General features: G+C 44.6%; 1 protein-coding gene and 1 pseudogene across 9 annotated transcripts, besides 2 other annotated features; one reads left to right on the forward strand and one right to left on the reverse strand.

Moving 5' to 3' along the window:
* Positions 872-1,011: a silencer, noted in NCBI's record as "silent region_15454". NCBI's record gives its function as "represses an Ori minimal core promoter by ATAC-STARR-seq in GM12878 lymphoblastoid cells {active_cell/tissue: GM12878}" and the evidence as "EXISTENCE:reporter gene assay evidence [ECO:0000049][PMID:35858748]".
* On the forward strand, positions 3,217-3,514 carry RN7SL357P (RNA, 7SL, cytoplasmic 357, pseudogene; annotated as a pseudogene).
* SPINK2 (serine peptidase inhibitor Kazal type 2) lies at positions 7,243-19,252 on the reverse strand. Of its 9 annotated transcripts, none has more exons than NR_073417.2 (4): positions 18,703-19,084; positions 17,919-17,922; positions 9,068-9,177; positions 7,244-7,567 (listed from the first exon to the last, which is right to left on the reverse strand). NR_073417.2 is itself a non-coding variant. In NM_021114.4 (4 exons), exons 1-4 carry the CDS (start codon positions 19,043-19,045, stop codon positions 7,522-7,524), a joined length of 255 nt encoding a protein of 84 aa, NP_066937.1. In that variant the 5' UTR covers positions 19,046-19,084; the 3' UTR covers positions 7,244-7,521. The 9 variants fall into 9 exon arrangements, 6 of the variants coding, with proteins under 6 accessions (NP_066937.1, NP_001258650.1, NP_001258649.1 ...); NR_073419.2 differs by having other exon boundaries at positions 17,919-17,962; NM_021114.4 differs by having other exon boundaries at positions 17,919-17,962; positions 18,991-19,084.
* Positions 18,926-19,185: a silencer, noted in NCBI's record as "silent region_15455". NCBI's record gives its function as "represses an Ori minimal core promoter by ATAC-STARR-seq in GM12878 lymphoblastoid cells {active_cell/tissue: GM12878}" and the evidence as "EXISTENCE:reporter gene assay evidence [ECO:0000049][PMID:35858748]".

The following is a 23,471-nucleotide window of genomic DNA, read 5'->3' on the forward strand; positions in this document are numbered from 1 at the left end:
ATTAGGTATTCCTCCTAATGCTATCCCTCCCCTAGCCCCCCACCCCCTGACAGGCCCCAGTGTGTGATGTTTCCCTCCCTGTGTCCATGTGTTCTCCTTGTTCAACTTCCACTTATGAGTAAGAACATGTGGTGTTTGGTTTTCTGTTCTTGTGATAGTTTGCTGAGAATGATGGTTTCCAGCTTCATCCATGTCCCTGCAAAGGACATGAACTCATCCTTTTTTATGGCTGCATAGTATTCCATGGTGTATATGTGCCACATTTTCTTTATCCATTCTGTCATTGATGGACATTTGGGTTCCAAGTCTTCGCTATTGTGAATAGTGCCACAATAAACATACATGTGCATGTGTCTTTATAGTAGAATGATTTATCATCCTTTGGATATACCCAGTAATGGGACTGCTGGGTCAAATTGTATTTCTAGTTTTAGATCCTTGAGGAATCCCCACACTGTCTTCCACAATGGCTGAACTTTCTTCACATCCACAAAGTGCTTTCTTAAAAACAAATAGTGTTGGCCAGGTGCGGCATGTCACGCCTGTAATCCCAGCACTTTGGGAGGATGAGATGGGAGGATCGCTTGAGCCCAGGAGTTCAAGACCAGCCTGGGCAATATAGCAAGACCCTGTCTCTACGAAAAAAAAGTTAAAAAGTGTTAGCTGGGCATGGTGGTGCATGCGTGTAGTTCAAGCTACTTGGAAAGCTGAGGCAGGAGGACTGCTTGAGCCTGGGAAGTCAAGGCTGCAGTGAGCTGTAATCTTCACTCCAGCCTGGGTGACAAAGTAAGACCACGTCTGAAACATACACACACACACACACACACACACACACACACACACACACACACACACAGTGTTCAGCAAATAAATGTTCAATAAACTAAGACATAGGTCCCCTTTTTTTGAGGTTTATGGCCTGGGTGAGCTCACCTCCAAGACATAGTGAGGAAGTGGCTCCCCTGAAGGTTGAATGAGAGTGATTTATATCTAACTGTTGCCACCTGCTTTGCTGCCTGAAGCTCAGCTTCTCCTTTTGTCCAAAATACTCTTGCCATTGTAAATCTAGCCACAGAATGCAGAAGCCATCAGAATGAAACTGACTTCAGTAAGCCCGCCCACGAGTACTTATTAGGTTTTTATTGTGTGACAGGCACTGTGCCAAGTGCTGGGAATTCAGTAGGGAACACAACAAATACTGGTTTTAACCTCATGGAACTTAAAAGTCTACAGCAGACATCAGATTCTTGGTTTTCAGAAGTGAGAGTTGTTCTGCTTTTCAGAGAAAAAAGAATGATCCTATAAGTTCTGCATGTACAGGAGCTAAGGGTCATTTGTCATTGTATACCCCATGCTCATCACATGGTAGATATCTGTAAGTGTGTACGACATAAATGAGTGAATGATCAGACGTAAAGATTTTTTGTCATTAAAAAAATCTAAGGCAGGGCCGGGTGCTGTGGCACATGCCTGTAATCCCAGAGCTTTGGGAGGCCAAGGCAGGTGGACTGCTTGAGCTCAGGAGTTCAAGACCAGCCTGGGCAACATGGCCAGGCCTCATCTCTACAAAAATTAAGAATAATTTTTAAAATTAAAAAAAGGGCCGGGCACGGTGGCTCACATCTGTAATCCCAGCACTTTGGGAGGTTGAAGGGGGTGGATCACGAGGTCAGGAATTCAAGACCAGCCTGGCCAATATGGTGAAACGCCGTCTCTACTAAAAAATACAAAAAATTAGCAGGGTTTGGTGGTGGGCACCTGTAATCCCAGCTACTCGGGAGGTTGAGGCAAGAGAATTGCTTGAACCTGGGAGGTGGAGGTTGCAGTGAGCCGAGATCACACCACTGCACTCCAGCCTGGGCAACAGAGCAAGATTCCATCTCAAATAAATTAATTAATTAAATAACAAAGAAGAATCTAAACCAGTTTAAGGTATGCTCCTGGAACTGTTCAAAATCTTCTGGGCATGAAGCATTGTTATCTTTTTCAGAGTAACATAGGAAAAAATGAAATTCACTGTTGGGCAAGTCAAAACGTTGTTTTCTTTGTGGTGTGTGGGATTTCTGGTTTGAGTTATCTTGCCTGTTCTTGCAGGAAGGAAATTCATGGAGGTTAGTGGTTTTGTTGTCATTATTTTGTGAGCTTCCTAAGCTGTATTTTCATGTCCTCAACCAACAAATATGCACTGTGCTAGGTGCTATTCTGGGCACTGAAAATACCATGATGAGCAAGACTTAGAGGATCTCCATCCTTGGGCAGCTTCTATTCTAGAACTCTCCATAGACTGTTGAACTTTCTTCTCACCATTTACTTGAGACAACTATAATTACTATGCCACTTTTAAAGAACATTAGACCAGCCTGGCCAACAAGGTGAAACCTCATCTCTACTAAAAATACAAAAACTAGCCAGGCATGGTGGTGTGTGCCTGTAACCCCAGCTATTCGGGAGGCTGAGGCAGGAGAATCACTTGAACCCTGGAGGCAGAGATTGCAGTGAGCTGAGATCGCTCCACTGCACTCCAGCCTGGAGCGAGCCTCTGTCTCAAAAAAAAAAAAAAAAAAAAAAAAAAAAAAAAAAAGAAAAGAAAAGAAAAAAAAGAAGAAGATTAAAGGGAAAAAACGAATTTTTCAATAAAGAATGAATGCTAGCCAGGTGCAGTAGCTCATGCCTGTAATCCCAGTACTTTGGGAGGCTGATGCGGGCAGATCACCTGAGGTCTACAGTTCGAGACCAGCCTGGCCAACATGGTGAAACCCCGTCTCTACTAAAAATTCAAAAATTAGCCGGGTGTGATGGTGGGGACCTGTAATCCCAGCTACTCTAGAGGCTGAGGCAGGAGAATTGCTTGAGCCCCAGTGATGGAGGTTGCAGTGAGCCGAGATGGCGCCACTGCACTCTGGCCTGGCTGACAGAGAGAGATTCTGTCTCAAAAAAAAAAAAAAAGAATGGATGCAAACTGAGTATACAGAACAACTCTAACTGAGCAGATTCGGGGCAGCACTACTTCTTTAACTCAACGGTATTAGAAAGAAGAACTAGGCACTCATTTGTCACAGAGGATGTAGATAGGTACACGCTTTTCAAAAATATTTTGAAATCTCTTTCAATGTTTTAAATTTGTGTATCTTCTGACCAAGTAATGCCAATCTTATGCATTTGTCCTACAGAATGTGCACAAAGAAGGAAGGGCATGAGTACAAAGACATAAGTTTAGCCAGGCATGGTGTCACATGTCTGTAGTCCCAGCTACTCCGGAGGCTGAGGTGGGAGGATCGTTTTGAGTCCAGGAGTTCTGGGCTGTAGTGTGCTATCCCTATGGGTGTCCACACTAAGTTTGGCATCAATATGGTGACCTCCTGGGAGCAGGGGACCACCAGGTTGCCTAAGAAGGGGTGAACCGGCCCAGGTTGGAAACAGGGCAGGTCAAAATCCCGGTGCTGATGAGTAGCAGGATCTCACCTGTGAACAGCTACTGCACTCCAGCCTGGGCAATATAGTGAGACCCATCTCTATTAAAAGAAAATTTTTCACTTTTTAAAAAATAAATAGGCCAGGTGCGGTGGCTCACACCTATAATCACTACACTTTGGGAGGCCGAGGCGGGTGAATCACCTGAGGTCAGGAGTTCAAGACCAGCAAGGCCAACATGATGAAACCCCATCTCTACTAAAAATACAAAAAATTAGCTGGGCATCATGGCGCATGCCTGTAATCCCAGCTACTCAGGAGGCTGAGGCAGGAGAATCACTTGAACCCGGGAGCCGGAGGTTGCAGTGAGCTGAGATCGTGCCACTGCACTCCAGCCTGGGCAACACAAGCAAAACTTCACCTCAAAAAATAAATAAAAATTTATAAATAAATAAATAAAAATAAAAGACATAATTTCAGCATTAGTGATAGTGAAAAATGAGAAATAATGTAAGTGTCTATCAGGATGAGATTGAATAGACAAATTATGGTATGTCTATATAACAGAATACTATGCAAGTGTTTTCAATGATGTAGATCTATATGTATAGATTTGGAAAAACATCCATGAAATATTAAGTCAAAAGAGCAAACTGTTTTTGCAAAAAAAGGTATAGTTTTCTATAATACAGCCAACATTTCAAGTGTCCTAAGCACCTTACATGCATTATCTTAAGTAGATACTATTATCTTCCTCACTTTATAAATGAGGAAACTGAGTTAAGCAGTAATTTGGTCAGTGAATGCAGATATCTGGCTTTGAACCAGTGTGCTTAGTCACTTCACTATATCAAGGAAGTAATTAATTCCCCTTTTAGCTTAGGCTAGTTTGAGTTGGGATTTCCCACTTTCAATCAAGAGAATCCTAATAAATAATCCAGATATAGGTCAATAGAGACTGGATAAATTATGGCACAATAACAGTATACTGTGTAGCTGTTTAAAAGAAGAAACAGGCTGGGCACGGTGGCTCATGCCTGTTATTGCAGCACTTTGGGAGGCCAATGAGGCAGATCCCTTGAGGTCAGGAGTTCCAGACCAGCCTGGCCAACATGGTGAAACCCTGTCTCTACTAAAAATACAAAAATTACCCAGGTGTAGTGGTGGCAGGCCTCCAATCCCAGCTACTCCAGAGGCTGAGGCAGGAGAATCGCTTGAACCCGGGAGGCAGAGGTTGCAGTGAGCAGAGATCATGCCACTGCACTCCAGCCTGGGCCACAGAGCAAGACTCAGTCTCAAAAAAATAATAATAAATTTTTTTAAAAAAGAAGAAACAATATATATCAACATGAAAACAAACCCAATATTTAAAGAGTAAAAGCAAGTTTACAGGACTTGTGTGTGCACATGTGTAATTTTGTATACACGTGTACTTAGAGAAAAAGACATTTCAAAACAGTTTTGGGTGCCTCTGGAGGCTAGGATGGGCAAGACTTTCACTCTATTTTTATATACTTCTGTATCTATTTTTTTTTCATTTATTTATTTATTTAATAGAGACGGGGTCTTCTGTGTTGCCCAGGCTGATCTCGAACTTCTGGCCTCAAATGATCCTCTTGCCTCAGCCTCCCAAAGTGCTGGCATTACAGGGGTGAGCCCCTGCACCCGGTCTGTATTTTTCAATTTTCCAAAAAGTATATATGACTCTTTTTTTTTTTTTTCAAGATGGAGTCTTGCTCTGTCAACGCAGGCTGGAGTGTAGTGGTGTGATCTCAGCTCACTGCAACCTCCACCTCCTGGGTTCAAGCGATTCTCCTGCCTCAGCCTCCCGAGTAGCTGGGGTTATAGGCACGTGCCACCACGCCCAGCTACTTTTTGTATTTTTAGTAGAGACGAGGTTTCACCATATTGGCCAGACTGGTCTCGAACTCTTGACCTCGTGATCTGCCTGCCTTGGCCTTCCAAAGTGCTGGGATTACAGGCAAGAGCCACCATGCAGGCCCAGGCTCAGTTCTATCACCTTAGGCAAATGTGTTTGCCTTTGTGGGCCTGTTTTCTCCTCTCTAGGAGGGGTGTCTGAAACAATAGTAGCACCTATTTCAGTGGCTTCTATATGTCAAGCACTATGCTAAACAGTTTCCTCATCATAGCTCCAGGAGCTAAACATCAACCCCATTTTCAGATACGAAAACTGAAACACAAGTGTTGGAATCAGAATGAACTCATATTTAGCTCACCCCCAAAAGCCATGTTCTCCCCACGATACCACTCTCCCAGCCACCTCTTGCCTCGCGTCTCACCATTTCCTGGTGCTGGAATGTACTTAAACCTAGGCCTTATGACTAAAATTCTCTACCTGGAAAACTCTATCATTCTAAATTCCTGGTCACTTATATTATTGTTATAAAATGTTTATACTGTATCAAACTCTAAAACAGGGTGTCTCAACCTTAGCACTACTGACATTTGGATTGGAAAATTCCTTGCTGTTGGGGGCTGACCTATGCAATGTAGGATGTTTAGAAGCATTCCTAGGTAGCACCCCACACCTCAGCAGTTATACCAAACATGCCTCCAGACATACTGCCAAATGTCCCCTTGGGGAAAATCACCCTGGATTGAGAACCACTGCTCTGAAAGAAAGAAAAAGCCAAACTCCTGTATGAACTCAGAATGAAAACTGTATTGAAAGGAAATTTTGAATCTAATAAATATTTGTACCTCCATGATTCTTTAACTTTACGAGTTTGGGTTAATGTTAACGCCAAGTATCTTACAATTATTGGCCATGTGCAGAACACTGTACCAACTACACATAATTACCCGAGAATTAGGGAAAGAAGGAGTTAGGATAAATTTTGCCCTCTCAACAATAACTCCACTTCACACCTACTGAAATTCATCCACGCCTGAGAGGAACAGGGCCATGTGAGGCCGCTGATGATGGAGTTAATATGCCAACCCAAAATATGCTGCCCTGGCATATTAACTATTTTGAGTTAAAAGCACTTGAAAAACAGCAGGTGCAAGAAGATCATTCTGACTTTCCTTCTGTTTCTTAAAAGCAGGAGATAAAATTCCCCTGTGAAAGATGTTCTCCCTATGCCAGAAGTAAAGTAACATTCTTATCATCAAGGACTGGGGGAAATTGGAAACTGAGGTCAAGGGAAATGTGTACAAACCAACCTTGTTAGACTAATGCTTATCCTCAGCCACTTCTCTACCCAATTAACTCAGCCCAAGCCCCTCTGCCATGTCACACTTTCATAATTCACTACTCTTTGTCTAATTCAGCATATAATGTTCAACTCTGTGTCTTTGAGCGTTTATTTATTTATTTATTTATTTATTTATTTTTGAGACAGAGTCTCGCTCTGCTGCCCAGGCTGGAGTGCAGTGGTGTGATTTCAGCTCACTGCAACCTCCGCCTCCTGGGTTCGAGCGATTGTCCTGCCTCAGCCTCCCGAGTAGCTGGGACTACAGGCATGTGCCACCACACCCAGTTAATTTTTGTATTTTTAGGAGAGACGAGGTTTCACCATGCTGGCCAGGATGGTCTTGATCTCTTGAGCTCATGATACGCCCGCCTCAGCCTCCCAAAGTGCTGGGATTACAGGCGTGAGCCACCACGCCCCGCCGAGTGTTTATTTCTTTATGAAGGCTCCCATGCCAAGTGAAACTTGTATTAAATAAGTCTGTATGCTTTCCTCCTGTTGATCTGTCTTATGTCCATTTAATTCTCAGGCCCAGCTGAAAAACTCTTGAAGGATAGAGGTAAAACTCTGCCTCCTCTGGAATGAGAATGGTATTTTCAACAGAGAACAGTAGGAACTGAATTCAATGCTGATTTTATTTCAACTAAATAAAGCAATGCACAAGTCACCTGGGCAGTAAGCTTAACTCCAGGAGCAAAAGCCAAGAAACAAGGATTCTTTTTTTCTTTAAATTATCCATCACTACACATGGCTGTCTTCCATACCTGCTCTCAGAAAATGTGTGTTAACAAATCTCATGTAAAGAAACACAGGAAAAGAGAAAAAGGGGAAATGCAATTTATCTAGTCTGCCAGTGAAGGTGGTCTCTCCATCTTCTTTTCTGTAAACTGCTCCATCAGCAGGGTCCATTTCGAATGATTTTAATATTATGACCACCTTCCCTGCAAATTGAACAATCATAGAAATACATTTATTACCTACCATACTGAAACTGTCTCATTATTTGTGTTAAAAAGACCCATGTAGATAGATATATATTAGATTCCTTCCACAGCTACACTTATTTAATCATTTTTTAAGCTAAATCTAGGAAACAAAGAGGGTGAAAGTCCCCACTCTGTCATTTTTTTCCCTAACGCTAGGGCACAGGACACTAACCCCAAAGAATCACTCAGAGAGCTGGGCATGGTGGCTCATGCCTGTAATCCTAGCACTTTGGGAGGCCAAGGTGGGTGGATTACTGGAGGTCAGGGGTTTGAGACCAGCCTGGCCAACATGGTGAATCCCCACCTCTACTAAAAATACAAAACTTAGGCTGGGAGCAGTGGCTCACGCCTGTAATCCCAGCACTTTGGGAGGCTGAAGTGGGTGGATCACCTGATCACCTGAGGTCAGGGGTTTGAGACCAGCCTGACCAATATGGTAAAACCCCATCTCTAACAAAAATACAAAAATTAGCCAGGTGTGGTGGCACATGCCTGTAATCCCAGCTACTTGGAAGGCTGAGTCAGGAGAATCGCTTGAACCTGGGAGGCAGAGGTTGCAGTGAGTCGGGCGACAAGTGAGACTCAGTCTCAAAAAAAAAAAAAAGAATCAGAGAAGACCGACTAAGGTCAAATAATGAATCCCTGCTATATACAAAGCTGCATACCTGAAGGAGCAGTGACAGTCACCTGGTCAGGTGTGCTACATGAAGCATATCAAGTATCATACACTCATTACTTAGCATTCTAGACTAAGCAGAGTCAGTAAGTCCCACTTCCCGACTACTAATACAGGGTGTGCAGACCACCTACACATGCCCTTTGAATTAAAAATAAAATTTAATACTCCACAGAGTTTAACTATTAAATAGACTCTTAATTTTAGGAAATTTCACATTTGTGGGCAATAACATAATTTGATTACCTGGCCTATAGTTGACTAATCACACATCTCATTGTTTAACTTGACCTGAAAAATGCACTGAGGATTTTGCATCTCTTTAAGCATGACCCTGAAAACTGAGAACTACCATACCACCTTTGATTCTTACATCCAAGAAAATTGTCACTACCCCCTAAGTAATCAAAATTCAACAAAAGAAATGAAGAGGTCAGGCGCGGTGGCTCACGCCTGTAATCCCAGCACTTTGGGAGGCCAAGGCGGGTGGATCACTTGAGGTCAGGAGTTCGAAACCAGCCTGGCCAACATGGTGAAACCCTGTCTCTACTAAAATTAAAAATTAGCCAAGCGTGGTGGCAGGTGCCTGTAATCCCAGCTACTCCAGAGGCTGAGGCACAAGAATTGCTTCAACCCAGGAGGCAGAGGTTGCAGTGAACCAAGATTGCACCACTGCACTCCAGCCTGGGTGACAGAGTGAGACTCTGTCAAAAAAAAAAAGAAGAAAAAAAAAGAAATGAAGAAAACTTGGCTAGTCTACAGCTGTAAAATCATGTTACCTGATTTTCATGCACAGAGTACATTCATTGGCATAAGTGGACATGTCACTGCCACACACAGGGTTAAAGTGTCTGGGACATCCTGGTAATCTATACTGAGAGCAGTTTGGCTGGAAAAAAGAAAGAGAGAAATTCGAGAATGACTTGAGACACACTCATATAAAATAGTTCAGAGGAGAAAATGTCCCAGATCTCCCTAGATTTCCTAGAATCATTTAATAAAAATATTTTTATTTTCCAGAAAAATTTTTTCTTTTTTTTTTTTTTTTTTTGAGACAGAGTCTCGCCCTGCAACCTCCACCTCCTGGGCTCAAGCGATTCTCCTGCCTCAGCCTCCCAAGTAGCTGGGATTACAGGCGCACGCCTCCATGCCGCTAATTTTTGTATTTTTAGTAGAGACAGGGTTTCACCGTGTTGACCAAGCTGGTCTCGAACTTCTGACGTCATGATCCACCCGCCTTGGCCTCCCAAAGTGCTAGGATTACAGGCGTGAGCCACTGCGCCTGGCAAAAAAAAATTTTCTAATGCAAAAATCAGATACAATGTTGGTGTGATGGTTCAATACATATTATGTAAAAAAAGGACTTTGGCTGGGAGCAGTGGCTTACGCCTGTAATCCCAACACTTTGGGAGGCCAAGGTGGGCAGATCACCCGAGACTGGGAGTTCGAGACCAGTCTGACCAACATGGAGAAACCCTGTCTCTACTAAAAAATAAAAAATTAGCCGGGCACGGTGGCGCATGCCTGTAATCCCAGCTACTCGGGAGACTGAGGCAGGAGAATCGAATGAACCTGGGAGGCAGAGGATGCGGTGAGCCGAGATCACGCCATTGCACTCCAACCCTCCAACCTGGGCAACGAGAACGAAACTCCATCTCAAAAAAAAAAAAAAAAAAAAAAAAAAAAGGACCTCAGAGGCTTCAATCTGGCTGATTTTTAAATGCAAGTCTAAGACATGCCACCACACCTACTTTTTTATTATCTAGCTTCATAATTTGCACTTCACTAAAATCTCCATGTGGATGTTTATTAAATTCCACCTTAATCCCTTGCCTTAATGCCAAGACAAAATCAGGAATCTAATCTTTCAATCTGAACTTTTAAGGCACTGACATTTAACCAAAAACATTAAAGAAAGCAGGAAATTGAGAATTGAAGCAAATTTGTGCCAAAGGAAAAATGTTCAAAACAGGTTCATCATCTATGGAGACTCCAAATTTCACCGCACAAGATACTAACTACAGGAAGAGAGTTCAATCTGGGCAGACATTGCCCCAAAACTTCCTCTCCACTCTCTGGAAGAGGACCACTGCACATTTATTATTCCTTAATGTCATTTTAATTCTCATAGAAGAGCGGAGCGTGGTGGCTCATGCCTGTAATCCCAGCACTTTGGGAGGCTGAGGCAGGTGGATCACCTGAGGTCAGGAGTTCAAGACCAGCCTGGGTCAACATGGTGAAACCCCATCTCTAGCAAAAATACAAAAATTAGCTGGGGGTGGTGGCGCATGCTTGTAATCCCAGCTACTTGAGAGGCTGAGACAGGAGAATCGTTTGAACCTGGGAGGCAGAGGTTGCAGTGAGCCGAGATTGCACCACTGCACTCCCGCCTAGACAACAACAGCGAAACTGTCTCAAAAAAATTACGAATTAAAATAATTCTTATAGAAGGATATGATAAAATTTTAAGCAATTCTCTGACCTTTATACTCTAGAGCAGGGGTTTCCAACCATCAGATCACAAACTGGTACTAGTCCATGGCCTGTTAGGAACTGGGCCTCCTGTTAGGAGGAGGGAAGTGGCTGGCCAGTGAGCGTTATCAACTGAGCTCTGCCTCCTGTCAGGTCAGCGATGGCATTAGATTCTCATAGGAGCACGAACCCTATTGTGACATGGGCATGTGAGGAATCTAGGTTGTGCACTCCTTATGAGACTTTTTTTTTTTTTTGAGACAGAGTTTTGCTCTTGTTGCCCAAGCTGGAGTGCAATGGTGCCATTTCGGCTCACTGCAACTTCTGCCTCCCAGGTTCAAGCAATTCTCCTGTCTCAGCCTCCCCATTAGCTGGTATTACAGGCGCATGCCACCACGACCAGCTAAATTTTTGTATTTTTAGTAGAAACAGGGTTTCACCATGTTAGCCAGGCTGGTCTCAAACTTCTGACCTCAGGTGATCTGCCCGCCTCAGCCTCCCAAAGTGCTGGGATTACAGGCATGAGCCACTGCACCTGGCCCTTTTTTTTTTTTTTTTTTTTTTGAGACAAAGTCTCACTCTGTCGCCCAGGCTGGAGTGCAGTGGCGCGATCTTGGCTCACTGCAACTTCTGCCTCCCAAGTTCAGGCGATTCTCCTGCCTCAGCCTCCCATATGGGTAGGATTAAAGGCACCCACCACCACGCCCGGCTAATTTTTGTATTTTTAGTAGAGACCGGCTTTCACCATGTTGGCCAGGATGGTCTCAAACTCCTGACCTTGTGATCCGCCAGCCTCAGCCTCTCAAAGTGCTGGGATTACAGGCATGAGCCGCCGCACCCTGCCGAGACTCCTAACTAACGCCTGATGGTCTGAGTTTCATCCCAAACCATCTCTGCCCACCCCACCCCATTCCTCAGTCCATGGAAAAATTGTCTTCTACAAACTGGTCCCTGGTCCCAAAAAGGCTGGGGACCGCTGCTCTAAAGCTTTTTTCCTGAAAGGTTCTTATACCGTTTACTGGTATAATCACTCATTTACAGATGTTACGGGAGACACAAAGACAAAGAAAAGTTGGATCCTGCCTATAAGAAGCTTAGGGTCGAATAAGGCAATTGAGAAATACACATGCTGGTCTTGAAGAAAGGGTAAAATTTAATATAGAAGGCTGGGAGAATGTCTACCGCAAGGAAATAAAATTGATCAAGCAAAGGCACAGTGGCAAGAGAAGTGGTTGGCATTGGAGTTAACAGTTTAAAGGAACCTCCAAAACTCTTTTATGATTTTTTTTAAAAAAAAGAGGTGGCCAGGCGCGGTGGCTCATGCCTGTAATCCCAGCACTTTGGGAGGCCGAGGCAGGTGGATCACGAGGTCAGGAAATCGAGACCATCCTGGCTAACACGATGAAACCCCGCCTCTACTAAAAATACAAAAAATTAGCCAGACATGGTGGTGGGCGCCTGTAGTCCCAGCTACTCGGGAGGCTGAGGCAGGAGAATGGCGTGAACCCAGGAGGCACAGCTGGCAGTGAGCCGAGATCATGCCACTGCATTCTAGCCTGGGTGACAGAGCAAGACTCCGTCTCAAAAAAAAAAAAAAAAAAAAAAACAAAGGCTGAGGCAGGAGAATCACACAGGAGGCAGAGGTTGCAGTGAGCCAAGATCACTCCATTGCACTCCAGCCTAGGGGACAAGGGTGAAACTCTGTCTCAAAAAACAAACAAACAAACAAACAAAAAACACAGCACTCAACGAACCAGGAACAGAAGAGAACTTCCTCAACCTTATAAAAGGCATCCATAGAAAAAACAAAAACAAAAATAAAATAAAATAAAAGGCATCCATGAATAACCTAAGCAAACATTCTACTCAATGGTAAAGGACTCAATGCTTTTCCCTAAAATCAGAAAAAAACACAAGAATGTCCACTTTCACCTCTTCTATTCAACACTATACCGAAGTTTCTTGCCAGGACAATTACCCAAGAAAAATAAATAAAATGCACCTAGATTGGAAAGGAAGAAGTAAAACTATCTCTATTCAAAGATGACAGAGGGGCTCATGCCTGTAATCCCAACACTTTTGGAGGCCAAGGCAGGCAGATCACTTGAGGCCAGGAGTTCGAGATCAGCCTGGCCAACATGGTGAAACCCTGCCTGTACTAAAAATGCAAAAATTAGCCAGGCGTGGTGGCAGGCACCTGTAATCCCAGCTACTTGAGAAGCTGAGGCAGGAGAATCGCTTGAACCTGGGAAGCGGAGGTTGTAGTAAGCTGAGATTGTACCACTGCCCTCCAACCTGGTGGAAGAGTAAGACCGTGTCTCAAAAAACAAACAAACAAACAACAAAGATGACACAATCTTGTTATATAGAAATTCCTAAGAAATTCACACACACACACACACACACACACACACACACACAAAACTATTATTACTAATAAACAAGGCCAGGTATGGTGGCTCATTCCTGTAATTCCAGTACTTTGGGAGGCTGAGGTAGGAGGATGACTTGAGGCCATGAGTTCAAGACCTGCCTGGGCAACATAGCAAGACCCCATCTCTACAAACAATTAAAAATTAGCCATGTGTGGTGACCTGTGTGTGTAGTCCTAGCTTCTCAGGAGGATGAGGCAGAAGGATCACTGGAGCCCAGGAGTTCAAGGTTATATTAAGTTATGATCATGCTATTGCACTCTAGCATGAGCCACAGAACAAGACTCAGTCTTGGAAAAAAGAAAAAGGACTAATAAACAAGTTCAACAAGGTTGAAAGATACAAGATCAATATATAAAACTCAATTTTATTTCTATACACTAACAATGAAAAATCTGAAAATAAAACTAAGAAAACAATTCCACTTACAATAGCATCAAAAAGAATAAAACATCTCTAGGGCCAGGCATGGTGGCTCACACCCTTAATCTCAGCACTTTGGGAGTGCTGGGATCAGCCTGGCCAACATGGTGAAACCTTGTCTCTACTAAAAAAATATAGGCCAGGCACAGTGGCTCACACCTGTAATCCCACCACTTTGGGAGGCCGAGGTGGGAGGATCACTTGAGGTCAGGAATTCAAGACCAGCCTGGCCAACCTGGTGAAACCCCGTCTCTACTAAAAATAGAAAAATTAGCTGGGCGTGGTGGTGGGTGCCTGTGATCCCAACTACTCGGGAGGCTGAGGCAGGAGAATCGCTTGAACCCAGGAGGTGGAAGTTGCAGTGAGCCGAGATCACACCATTATACTCCAGCCTGGGTGACAGAGTAAGACTCCATCTCAAAATAAATAAATAAAATATATATTTTATATCTATATATCTATATATAGATATATATACATATATACACGAAAAAAAATTAGCTGGGCATGGTGGCGGGAACCTGTAATCCAGCTACTTGGGAGGCTGAGTCAGGAGAATCACTTGAACCTGTGAGGCGGAGGCTGCAGTGAGTCGAGATGGCTCCACTTCACTCCAGCCTGGATAACAGAGTGAGACACTGTCTCAAAAAAAAAAAATAAAATAAAATAAAAAAATAAAACATCTAGAAAGACCAGGTGCGGTGGCTCACGCCTATAACCCAGCACTTGGGGAGGCTGAGCCGGGCAGATCACGAGGTCAGGAGTTCGAGACCAGCCTGACCAACATGGTAAAACCCCATCTCTACTAAAAATACAAAAATTAGCTGGGCGTGGTGGCACACACTTGTAATCCCAGCTACTCAGGAGGCTTAGGCAGGAGAATTGCTTGAACCCAGGAGGCAGAGGTTGCAGTGAGCCGAGATCATGCCATTGCACTCCAGCCTGAGCGATAGAGCGAGACTCCATCTCAAAAAACAAAAACAAAAACATTAGGAATAAATATTTACAAAGTGTAAGACATGTATACTGAAAACTACAAAGCATTGTTGAAAGAAATTAAAGGCCTAAATACATAGAAAGACATCCCATGTTCATGGATCATAAGACTTAACACTTTTAAGATGGCAATACTCTCCAAATAGATATACAGGTTCAATGGAATCCCCAACAAAATCTTAGCTATCTTTTTTTGCAGCAGAAACTGACAAATTGATCTTAAAATTCAGATGGAAATATAAGGGACTCCAAATAGCCAAAACAGTCTTGACTAAGAAAAAAAAGGTTGGAGGATTCACATTTCCTCATTTTGAAACTTACTATAAAACTACAGTAATCAGGCCGGGTGCGGTGGTTCACGCTTGTAATCCCAGCACTTTGGGAGGCCGAGGCGGGCAGATGACCTGAGGTCGTCAGGAGTTTGAGACCAGCCTAGCCAACACGGTGAAACCCTACTTCTACTAAAGATATAGAAATTAGCCGAGCATGGCAGTGCACGCCTGTAATCCCAGCTACTTGGGAGGCTGAGGCAGGAGAATCGCTTGAACTCAGCAGATGGAGGTTGCAGTGAGCCAAAATCGTGCCACTGCACTCCACCCTGGCAACAAGAGTGAAACTCCATCTCAAAAAAAAAAAAAAAAGTGTGGCACTAAGGATAGAGGAGGATAAACTATGAGAAAGCACCAGAAGGTACAGGTAGAAAAGTAGGCTGTGTCGATGAGGTTAGACTTTCTCTGTGGGCAATGAGAAGTCCTTGAAGATTTTGCACAGAGACATGCTACATTCAGTTGAGGTTTTAGAGACTAATTGAAGCAGCAGTGTGTAGCAGGAAGTGGAAAGTGAAGATACCAAAAGGATGGGGAAAACCCATTGAAAAGCCACTATGCTAATCTAGGTAAGAGATAATGGGCGTCCTAAATTAGAGCAGTGGCAATGGAAATAAGGAAGAAAAACCAAAGATCAATCTCTCTGTCTCTCTCCCTTTTTTCTTAAGACTGGTCAAGCGAAGCAGTGGAATAGAAAAGGAACAGAGAAATCTGTGGTTGTGATCAATTAGTTGTAAACACCACTGCACAAAAACCAGCCAAACCAAAGATCTCTTGTGTGAGTCATCCTTTTAACAATCTTGTCAAAAGACAGCAGGTCCAGGCCGGGAGCGGTGGCTCATGCCTGCAATCCCAGCACTTTGGAAGGCCAAGGTGGGTGCATCCTGTGAGGTCAGGAGTTCAAGACCAGCTTGGCCAACATGGTGAAACACTGCCTCTACCAAAAATACAAAAAAATTAGCCGGGCGTGGTGGCACATGCCTGTAGTCTCAGCTACTCGGGAGGCTAAGGCAGAAGAATCACTTGAACCCGGGAGGCCTCAGGTTGCAGTGAGCAGAGATCTCGCCACTGCACTCCAGCCTGGATGACAAAGCAAGACTCCGTCTCCAAAAAACAAAAAAAGACAGCAGGTCCTGCAGCACTTGCCTTGCCTCCTGAGCGTGAGTGCCTTCTTAAATTCTACATGTAGGAACTCACTCACTTTACCCTAATCCCAGCCTTGAAACGAAGGTACCATAACTCCCATTTTCTAAAAGAAAATCAAACCCAAGCAAACTGAATCACTGACTAAAAGTGTTATTGGGCATCTGTGAGATGCTGAAGACTGAGCAACAAATAGCAAATAAGACATTATACCTGACAACATGCATACAGTTTCCTGGAGGACGTAGGCAAACAGGCAATTACAACCTAATGTTGTGACAGGGTAGAGAAAAGCACTGGATCTGGAGTCAGACTGCCTGGATGAGAAGCATAGCTCCACCACTTCCATGTGACCTTGGCCAAGGGGATAATAATGAAATAATGATCCCTACCTCACAGTACTGTGAAAGATGAAATTAGTTATTATATATGAAGCATTTAGAACACTGGTGTGGCATGTAGGTATCTAAGTATTTATTATTATGATGGTGATGATGATGCAGTATAGGTAAGCACAGAGAAAGTGTGTGTGTATACATATCTACATCTCTAGAGGAAGGGAATCGCGTGGGAAGGCTTCCTGGAAGAAGCCTACTCTGAGCTGAATGCTCAAAGTTAACCTGCTGAAGTCAATATCCTCATATGTCAAATAATGTCTATCTTACAACATCATTGTGAGAATTGAGAGACCAAATATACAGACAATGACTAGTCCTTATATAAAACAGAACTCTGACCCACAACCTGCAGCATCCTGTCCAGGAACCCAAACCATTATTTAGAATAACCAGGCCAGGAGGCCAGCCGGCTATAAGCCAGACTTGAAGGAAATCAGACTGCTATCTCTAGTGACAGTCCAGGAAGCAAAACAATAACCCCTTTAACAATCAGCCCAAAATGGCTAGGACTTTTTTTTCTTTCTTTTTTTTTTTTTTTGAGATGAAGTCTCACTCTGTTGTCTGGGCTGGAGTGCAGTGGCATGAACTCAGCTCACTGCAACCTTTGCCTCCCAGGTTCAAGTGATTCTCCTGCCTCAGCCTTCCCAGTAGGTGGGATTACAGGCACGTGCCATGATGCCTGGCTAATTTTTTGTATTTTTAGTACAGACGGGGTTTCACCATGTTAGCCAGCATGGTCTTGATTTCCTGACCTCGTGATCTGCCCACCTCGGCCTCCCAAAGCACTGGGATTACAGGCGTGAGTCACTGCGCCCAGCTGCAAAATGGTTAGGATTTGATTACTAACTGACAGCTTCCGTAATTTCTGTCCTTGATTCCAACTTAGGACAACCAGAGAAAACCAAATACACACCCCTAACCCATACCATAGAATGTTGTGCTTCTAGTTAGCTCACCTACAGCTTCCCTGTGCCAACAGCCTCCAATCAGGCCATACCTGAAGCCATTCCTTTTTTCCACTATAGTTTTCCCACTCCTCTCTTTGACTCGAGTCCCTACTCAAATGCAAGTGACAGTGGCTGACTCTCTTGCTATAACAAGCCCTGAAAAACATAGCCTTTGCTTGTTCTCATTTGGTTGGTCTCCATTTACATCCTCAGAATTTAATTTGATAAAGTACATAAAATATCTAGTACAAGGCATAACTTTTTCTAAGGACCTTTTGAATCTTTAAAGGAAATATTAACACAAAGACTGAGCTGTTTTCAACTAAAACTTACACTTTTATCTGAATCAAAAGGCCTGCCTGACAACCTGGTTTTAAACGCAGTCCTCAATGGTTTCAAAAGTGGCAGGTCAGACCTGAAAGCCAGCCTCCCTCCCAAACGGTTTTGGGCTTCACTGTATTAGTAGAAACAGTAGAAGTGGTTTGCTACTTACCGTTCTATATTTTGAAAACAGACCAAATTGAGGGATCAGAGAGGCTGTAAGAAGAAAGCATAGACATTTTACAGTATAGGATCAAGGTAAGGTATTGTTCATGAAGTTTTTTTTTTTTTTAAATGAAGTCTTGCTATGTTGCCCAGGCTGGTCTTGACCTCCCGGGCTTAAGCGATCTTCCTGCCTAGGCCTCCCAAAGTGCTGGAATTTGAGGCATTAGCCACCACATCCAGCTTCATAAGGATGTTTTAAAATCCAGTTTGGGATTTATCCAGGCCACATCTTCTATTTTCCCCTCTAATGCCTACCTTCTTTAAACTGTCCCCATCCCACTTCCCCCAGAAAGGATATTCAGTTTTTTATGGCACCTCTCCCCAAAAGCACATAGAAATAACATTTGGTTCTGTTCCCATTAGGGTTGGTTGAGAAAGGACTTTGAAGCTATGGAATAAAAGTCGCGCTAGCGCACTGCAGCTTCAATTCCTGGTCTCAAGCGAGCCTCCCGCCTCAACCTCCGGAGTAACTGGGACTACCGGCCCAAGCCACTACACCTGGCCAAGGAAGTAACCCTTAATTAATAGTTCATGATGTTATTTTCCTTTACAACTCGGGGTAACAAATACAAAATTTAATATAAGATGTGAGCATTTTAACTCCATTTTAAGAGAGGTGTCCAGTGTGGTTGGACTAAAGCCCCTTTCTCGTAAGCATCCACAATTCCTCATTCCTGCACATCTCCTCCCTTGGGACCATACATAAAAACTCAACTCCTCATCTTGGGCACCTGAAAATCTACTTTAACAGAGAAAGCGCTCTAGATGGCAGGTGTCCTTAGAGCTGGGAGCGAAGCCCAAGCAAGAACTAAAGAGGGTGGCTGACTCCACAAAGCCACCCCCACAACCCCCAGTTCGCGTTCCTCCACCTGGCAGGTCCTCTGGGGAACCGCCAGTAACGGGCGCGCGGGTACCGTCGCCGAGGCCGCCCGGAGCAGGGCAGGGTCCGCCGCCGGTCTGACTCCCAAACCCGCTTTTCTCCGGAGGTCCCCGCTCGCCAGGACCGCTCCGAGCGCTACCTGCGAAGGTAACTGCCAGGAGCAGCAGCGCCAAGCGCAGCACCGACAGCGCCATCCTCCTCCCGCGCCGGCTGTCTTGCCCCTGCGGTCTGTTACCTGCGCCACTCGCAGGGAGCGCTCGTGCGACGGGGCGCGGGGAGGGCGGGGGAAGGGGCGGGGCGAGAATGGGAGGAAAAGCAGCGGTAGGTGGCGAGGGAAGAGGGGCGGCGGGAAGAGGAGCGGCGGGAAGAGGAGCCGTGAAGGGTCGGGGGAGAACCGGAAAGGGCTGGGAAGGAGAAAGGTAGAAGGACGGGGGAGGGGGCCATGGGGAAGGAGGGGCGAGGGAGATAGAGGAAGGGGCAGTTGTTCCCCAACACCTTCCCCTCCCCCCAAGGAGACGAAGGGGAAGACCTCTCCCTCCGACATACAAGAACCTGTGACAGTCCTAGGGGGACCCTTGTGGAGCTCTTGGGAGCTCTGTCAATCAACACCTATTTCTTAAGCATGTACTAAGTCCCAGATAGTGTTTCGTTGCTGAAGACACAGCCCTGACCTCGACAAAGGAGGTCCTTGCTCTCAGGAAGCGTTCTGCCTTTCCCTCTTTTAATATATTTTTTAACTATTTGAGTTGACACATAATGATTGTACATATTTATGGGGGTACATAGTGATATTTGGATACATACAATGTGTAGTGATCAAAATAGGATAATTAGCATATTCATCACCTCAAACATTTATCATTACTTTGTGTTGAGAACATTCAAAATCCTCTCATCTAGCTACTTGAAAATACATAATAAATTATTATTATTATTTAAATTTCAGACAGGGTCTCGCTCTTTTACCCAGGCTGGAGTGCAGTGGCACGATCTCAGCTCACTGCAACCTCCACCTCCCAGGTTCCAGTGATCCTCCCACCTCAGCCTCCCTCCCAAGTAGCTGGGACCACAGATATATGCCACCATGCCAAGCTAATTTTTGCATTTTTTGTAGAGAGGGGTTCTCACCATGTTGCCCAGGCTACTCTCAAACTCCTGGGCTCAAGCAATCCGCCCACCTTGGCCTCCCAAAGTGCTGGGATTACAGGCTTGAGCCACCGTGCTCGACCTTTATAATATATTATTGTTAATTGTCGGCACCCTACAATGCTATGAAACACTAGCACTTATCCTTTCTACCTAGCTGTAATTTTGTATACTTTAACCAACCTCTCCCTATCCCCCTATCCTTCCCAGCCTCTAGTAACTACTGTTCTACTCATTACTTCTGTGAGAAATAATTTTTGCCAAAGAGGCTGAGCAAGTTAGTGCATTAAGGCCAGGCGTGGTGGCTCACGCCTCTAATCCCAGCACTTTGGGAGGCTGAGCCTGGTGGATCACTTGAGCTCAAGAGTTTGAGAGGAGCCTGGGCAACAGGGCAAAACCCCGTCTCTAAAAAAAGTACAAAAATTAGCCAGGTGTGGCCATTGAGCTGAGATTGAGCTACTGCGCTCCAGCCTCAGTGGCAAAATGAGACCATGTCAAAAAAATTTGGCCAGGCACGGTGGTTCATGCCCGTAATCCCAGCACTTTGCGAGGCTGAGGCAAGTAGATCACTTGAGGCCAGGAGTTTGAGACCAGCCTGGCCAACATGGCAAGACCCCATCTCTACTAAAAATACAAAAATTAGCTGTGCATGGTGGTGCGCACCTGTAGTCCCAGCTACCTGGGAGGCTGAGGCATGAGAATTGCTTAAACCCAAGAGGCAGAGGTTGCAGTGAGCCGAGATGGTGCCACTGCACTCCAGCCTGGGCGACAGAGTAAGACTCTGTCAAAAAAAAAAAAAAGTGCATTAGCAGATCCACTTTTTTTTTTTTCTGCTTCTTATGCCTGTGTGTCAAATGATTCTGTGACATGTTGCCTTATCAGTAAGGGTCCAGTCTGGAAAACACAAGGTTTACTAGGTATTTCACCAGAGATAATTTAGTATAAGGAATTGGCTAATCCAGTAGGGATAACTGAAAAAAGCAGAAAGGGAAAACGAGGTAACACAGAGATAAAGCCTTTAGGAAGTAGGCATCATGCCTCGATCTAGGGGAACAAACGGATTAGGTTGGGATTCTCAGAACTAGAAATTTGGAGGAGAGGTCCTGGAAAGCTGGGACTCAGACCCATGGGAAGGGGGTGTTGCTTGGATATGCAGGTGGCTCTAAGAGTGTGTGGAAAAGCTGAAGACTGGAGCCAGGTGCAGTGGCTCACACCTGTAATCCCAGCACTTTGGGAGGTTGAGGTGGGTGGGTCACTTGAGGTCGGGAGTTCGAGACCAGCCTGGCCAACATGGTGAAACCTTGTCTCTACTAAAAAATATAAAACTTAGCTGGACATGGTGCCATACTCCTGTAATCCCAGGTTCATGAGAATCTCTTGAACCTAGGAGGTGGAGGTTGTGGTGAGCGAAGCACACCACTGCACTCCAGCCTGGGCAACAGAGTGAAACTCTGTCTCAAAAAAAAAAAAAAAAATGCTGGAGACTGGAGCCAGCTGATTCTATCAGAGTGATGAAGAGTCATTGCTGTGGCACTGCTGAAAGAAACAGCCAGCAGGCAGGAGCCAGTCCCTTCTCCCTCCTCCTGCCTTCCGGTGTCCCCCTGACAGACCCTATGGGCATAACCTTCTGGAAGCCAGCTGAAAAAGCAGAAATGAGGTCTGCTGAGACCTGGCACCACATAGCAGAGTGTAGAAGGGGGTTGTAGAGCTGATGGAGAATCATCTTATGACTGGCATGTTCCCATGCCCACCCTTGACCTTAGCAACCTCAAAGGCTGGAACAAGAAGACACTGTGCAGTTTTTAACTCCACTTGGCACCACACATGGCTGAGTTCTGGCTGGAATCCTGTCTGAGGCCAAGGGGTAAATTTGAAATGAGTGTTAGTACTTCTCTAAGTCACATCACATTCAGTTCTTTGAATAACAGTCATGAAATGGTCATGGGTCATTTTGCTGAAGATTCTTATCAAGGATTGATAAAATATAATTTATATATAAAGCTTTTCTCAACTGTGCTGGATGTCTGTTACCAAATGACATGTGCACTTGCTTACAAACACCTTTGATGCTCTGGGAACACAAATCTGACCCAGACTCAGGGGCAATGCTCAGAGGTGTGTGAGTAGGAATTTCAGCTTCAAAAGAAAAGCCATTTACCCCTCAAGATAGATTTTTTATAAATTTATGTGTGTGGATACAGCTGCCTTTAGGTTATTTTGTTTCAAAGAGTTGACACTGACTGGCAGGGTGGCTCATGCCTGTAATCCCAGCACTTTGGGAGGCAGAGGCGGGCAGATTGTTTGAGCCCAGGAGTTGGAGACCAACCTGGGCAACATGACAAAACCCTGTCTCTAAAAAAATACAAAAATTAGCCTGGTGTGGTGGCGCGCACCTGTAGTCCCAGCTACTTAGGAGGCTGAGGTGGGAGGATCACCTGAGCCTGGGAGGTGGAGGCTGCAGTGAGCCATGATCACACCACTGCATTTCAGCCTGGGTGACAGAGCGAGACTCCGTCTCAAAAAAAAAAAAAAAATGTTGATAATTATACCTTAGAAATATTTTCTATCATGGTGCTTTTCACATGTTGTCTCAGCATTTGTGAGCCAAGAACAAGGGTCAAAAAACATTTTCTGTAAAGGGCCAGATAGTAAATACCATTGACTTCTTGTCACAACTAAACTCTGCCATTGCAGTGCAAAAGGAGACATAGACTATAACTCAATGAATGGGCATAACTGTATTCTTTTTTTTTTTTTTTTTGAGAGAAGATCTTGCTGTGTCACCCAGGCTGGAGTACAGTGGCGCAATCTCAGCTCACTGCAGCCTCAACCTCCTGGGCTCAAGCGATCCTCCCACCTCAGCCCCACAAGTAGCTAGGAATACAAGCATCCGCCACCACACCCAGCTAATATTCTTGTATTTTTTGTAGAGGTAGGTGATATGGTTTGGCTGTGTCCCCACTTAAATCTCAACTTGAATTCTATCTCCCGGATTTCCCAAGTGTTGCGGGAGGGACCCAGGGGGATAATTGAATCATGGGGGCCAGTCTTTCCCATGCCATTCTCATGATAGTGAATAAGTCCAGGAGATCTGATGGGTTTATCAGGAGTTTCCATTTTTGCTTCCTCCTCATTTTTTCTCTTGCTCCTGCCATGTAAGAAGGGCCTTTCACCTCCCACCATGATTGTGAGGCCTCCCCAGCCATGTGGAACTGTAAGTCCAATTAAACCCTTTTTTCTTCCCAGTCTCATGTATGTCTTTATCAGCAGCATGAAAATGGACTAATACAGTAAATTGGTACCAGGAGAGTGGGGCGTTGCTGAAAAGATACCAAAAATGTGGAAGTGAATTTGGAACTGGGTAACAGGCAGAAGTTGGAACAGTTTGGAGGGCTCAGAAGAAGACAGGAAAATGTGGGAAAGTTTGGAACTTCCTAGAGACTTGCTGAATGGCTTTGCCCAAAATGCTGATAG

This window comes from Homo sapiens, chromosome 4 (assembly GCF_000001405.40).
Source record: "Homo sapiens chromosome 4, GRCh38.p14 Primary Assembly".
Lineage (NCBI taxonomy): Eukaryota > Metazoa > Chordata > Mammalia > Primates > Hominidae > Homo > Homo sapiens.

Bases quoted from the DNA above. Each gene is read 5' to 3' on its own strand.
- SPINK2 (NM_001271722.2), bottom strand. From the start codon at position 19,045: ATGGCGCTGTCGGTGCTGCGCTTGGCGCTGCTGCTCCTGGCAGTTACC. The intron at 7,568-18,840 runs GTGGAGGAACGC...TTCAATTTGCAG, and splicing joins TTCCCCAGAGGACCTGCCAG to GGAAGGTGGTCATAATATTA.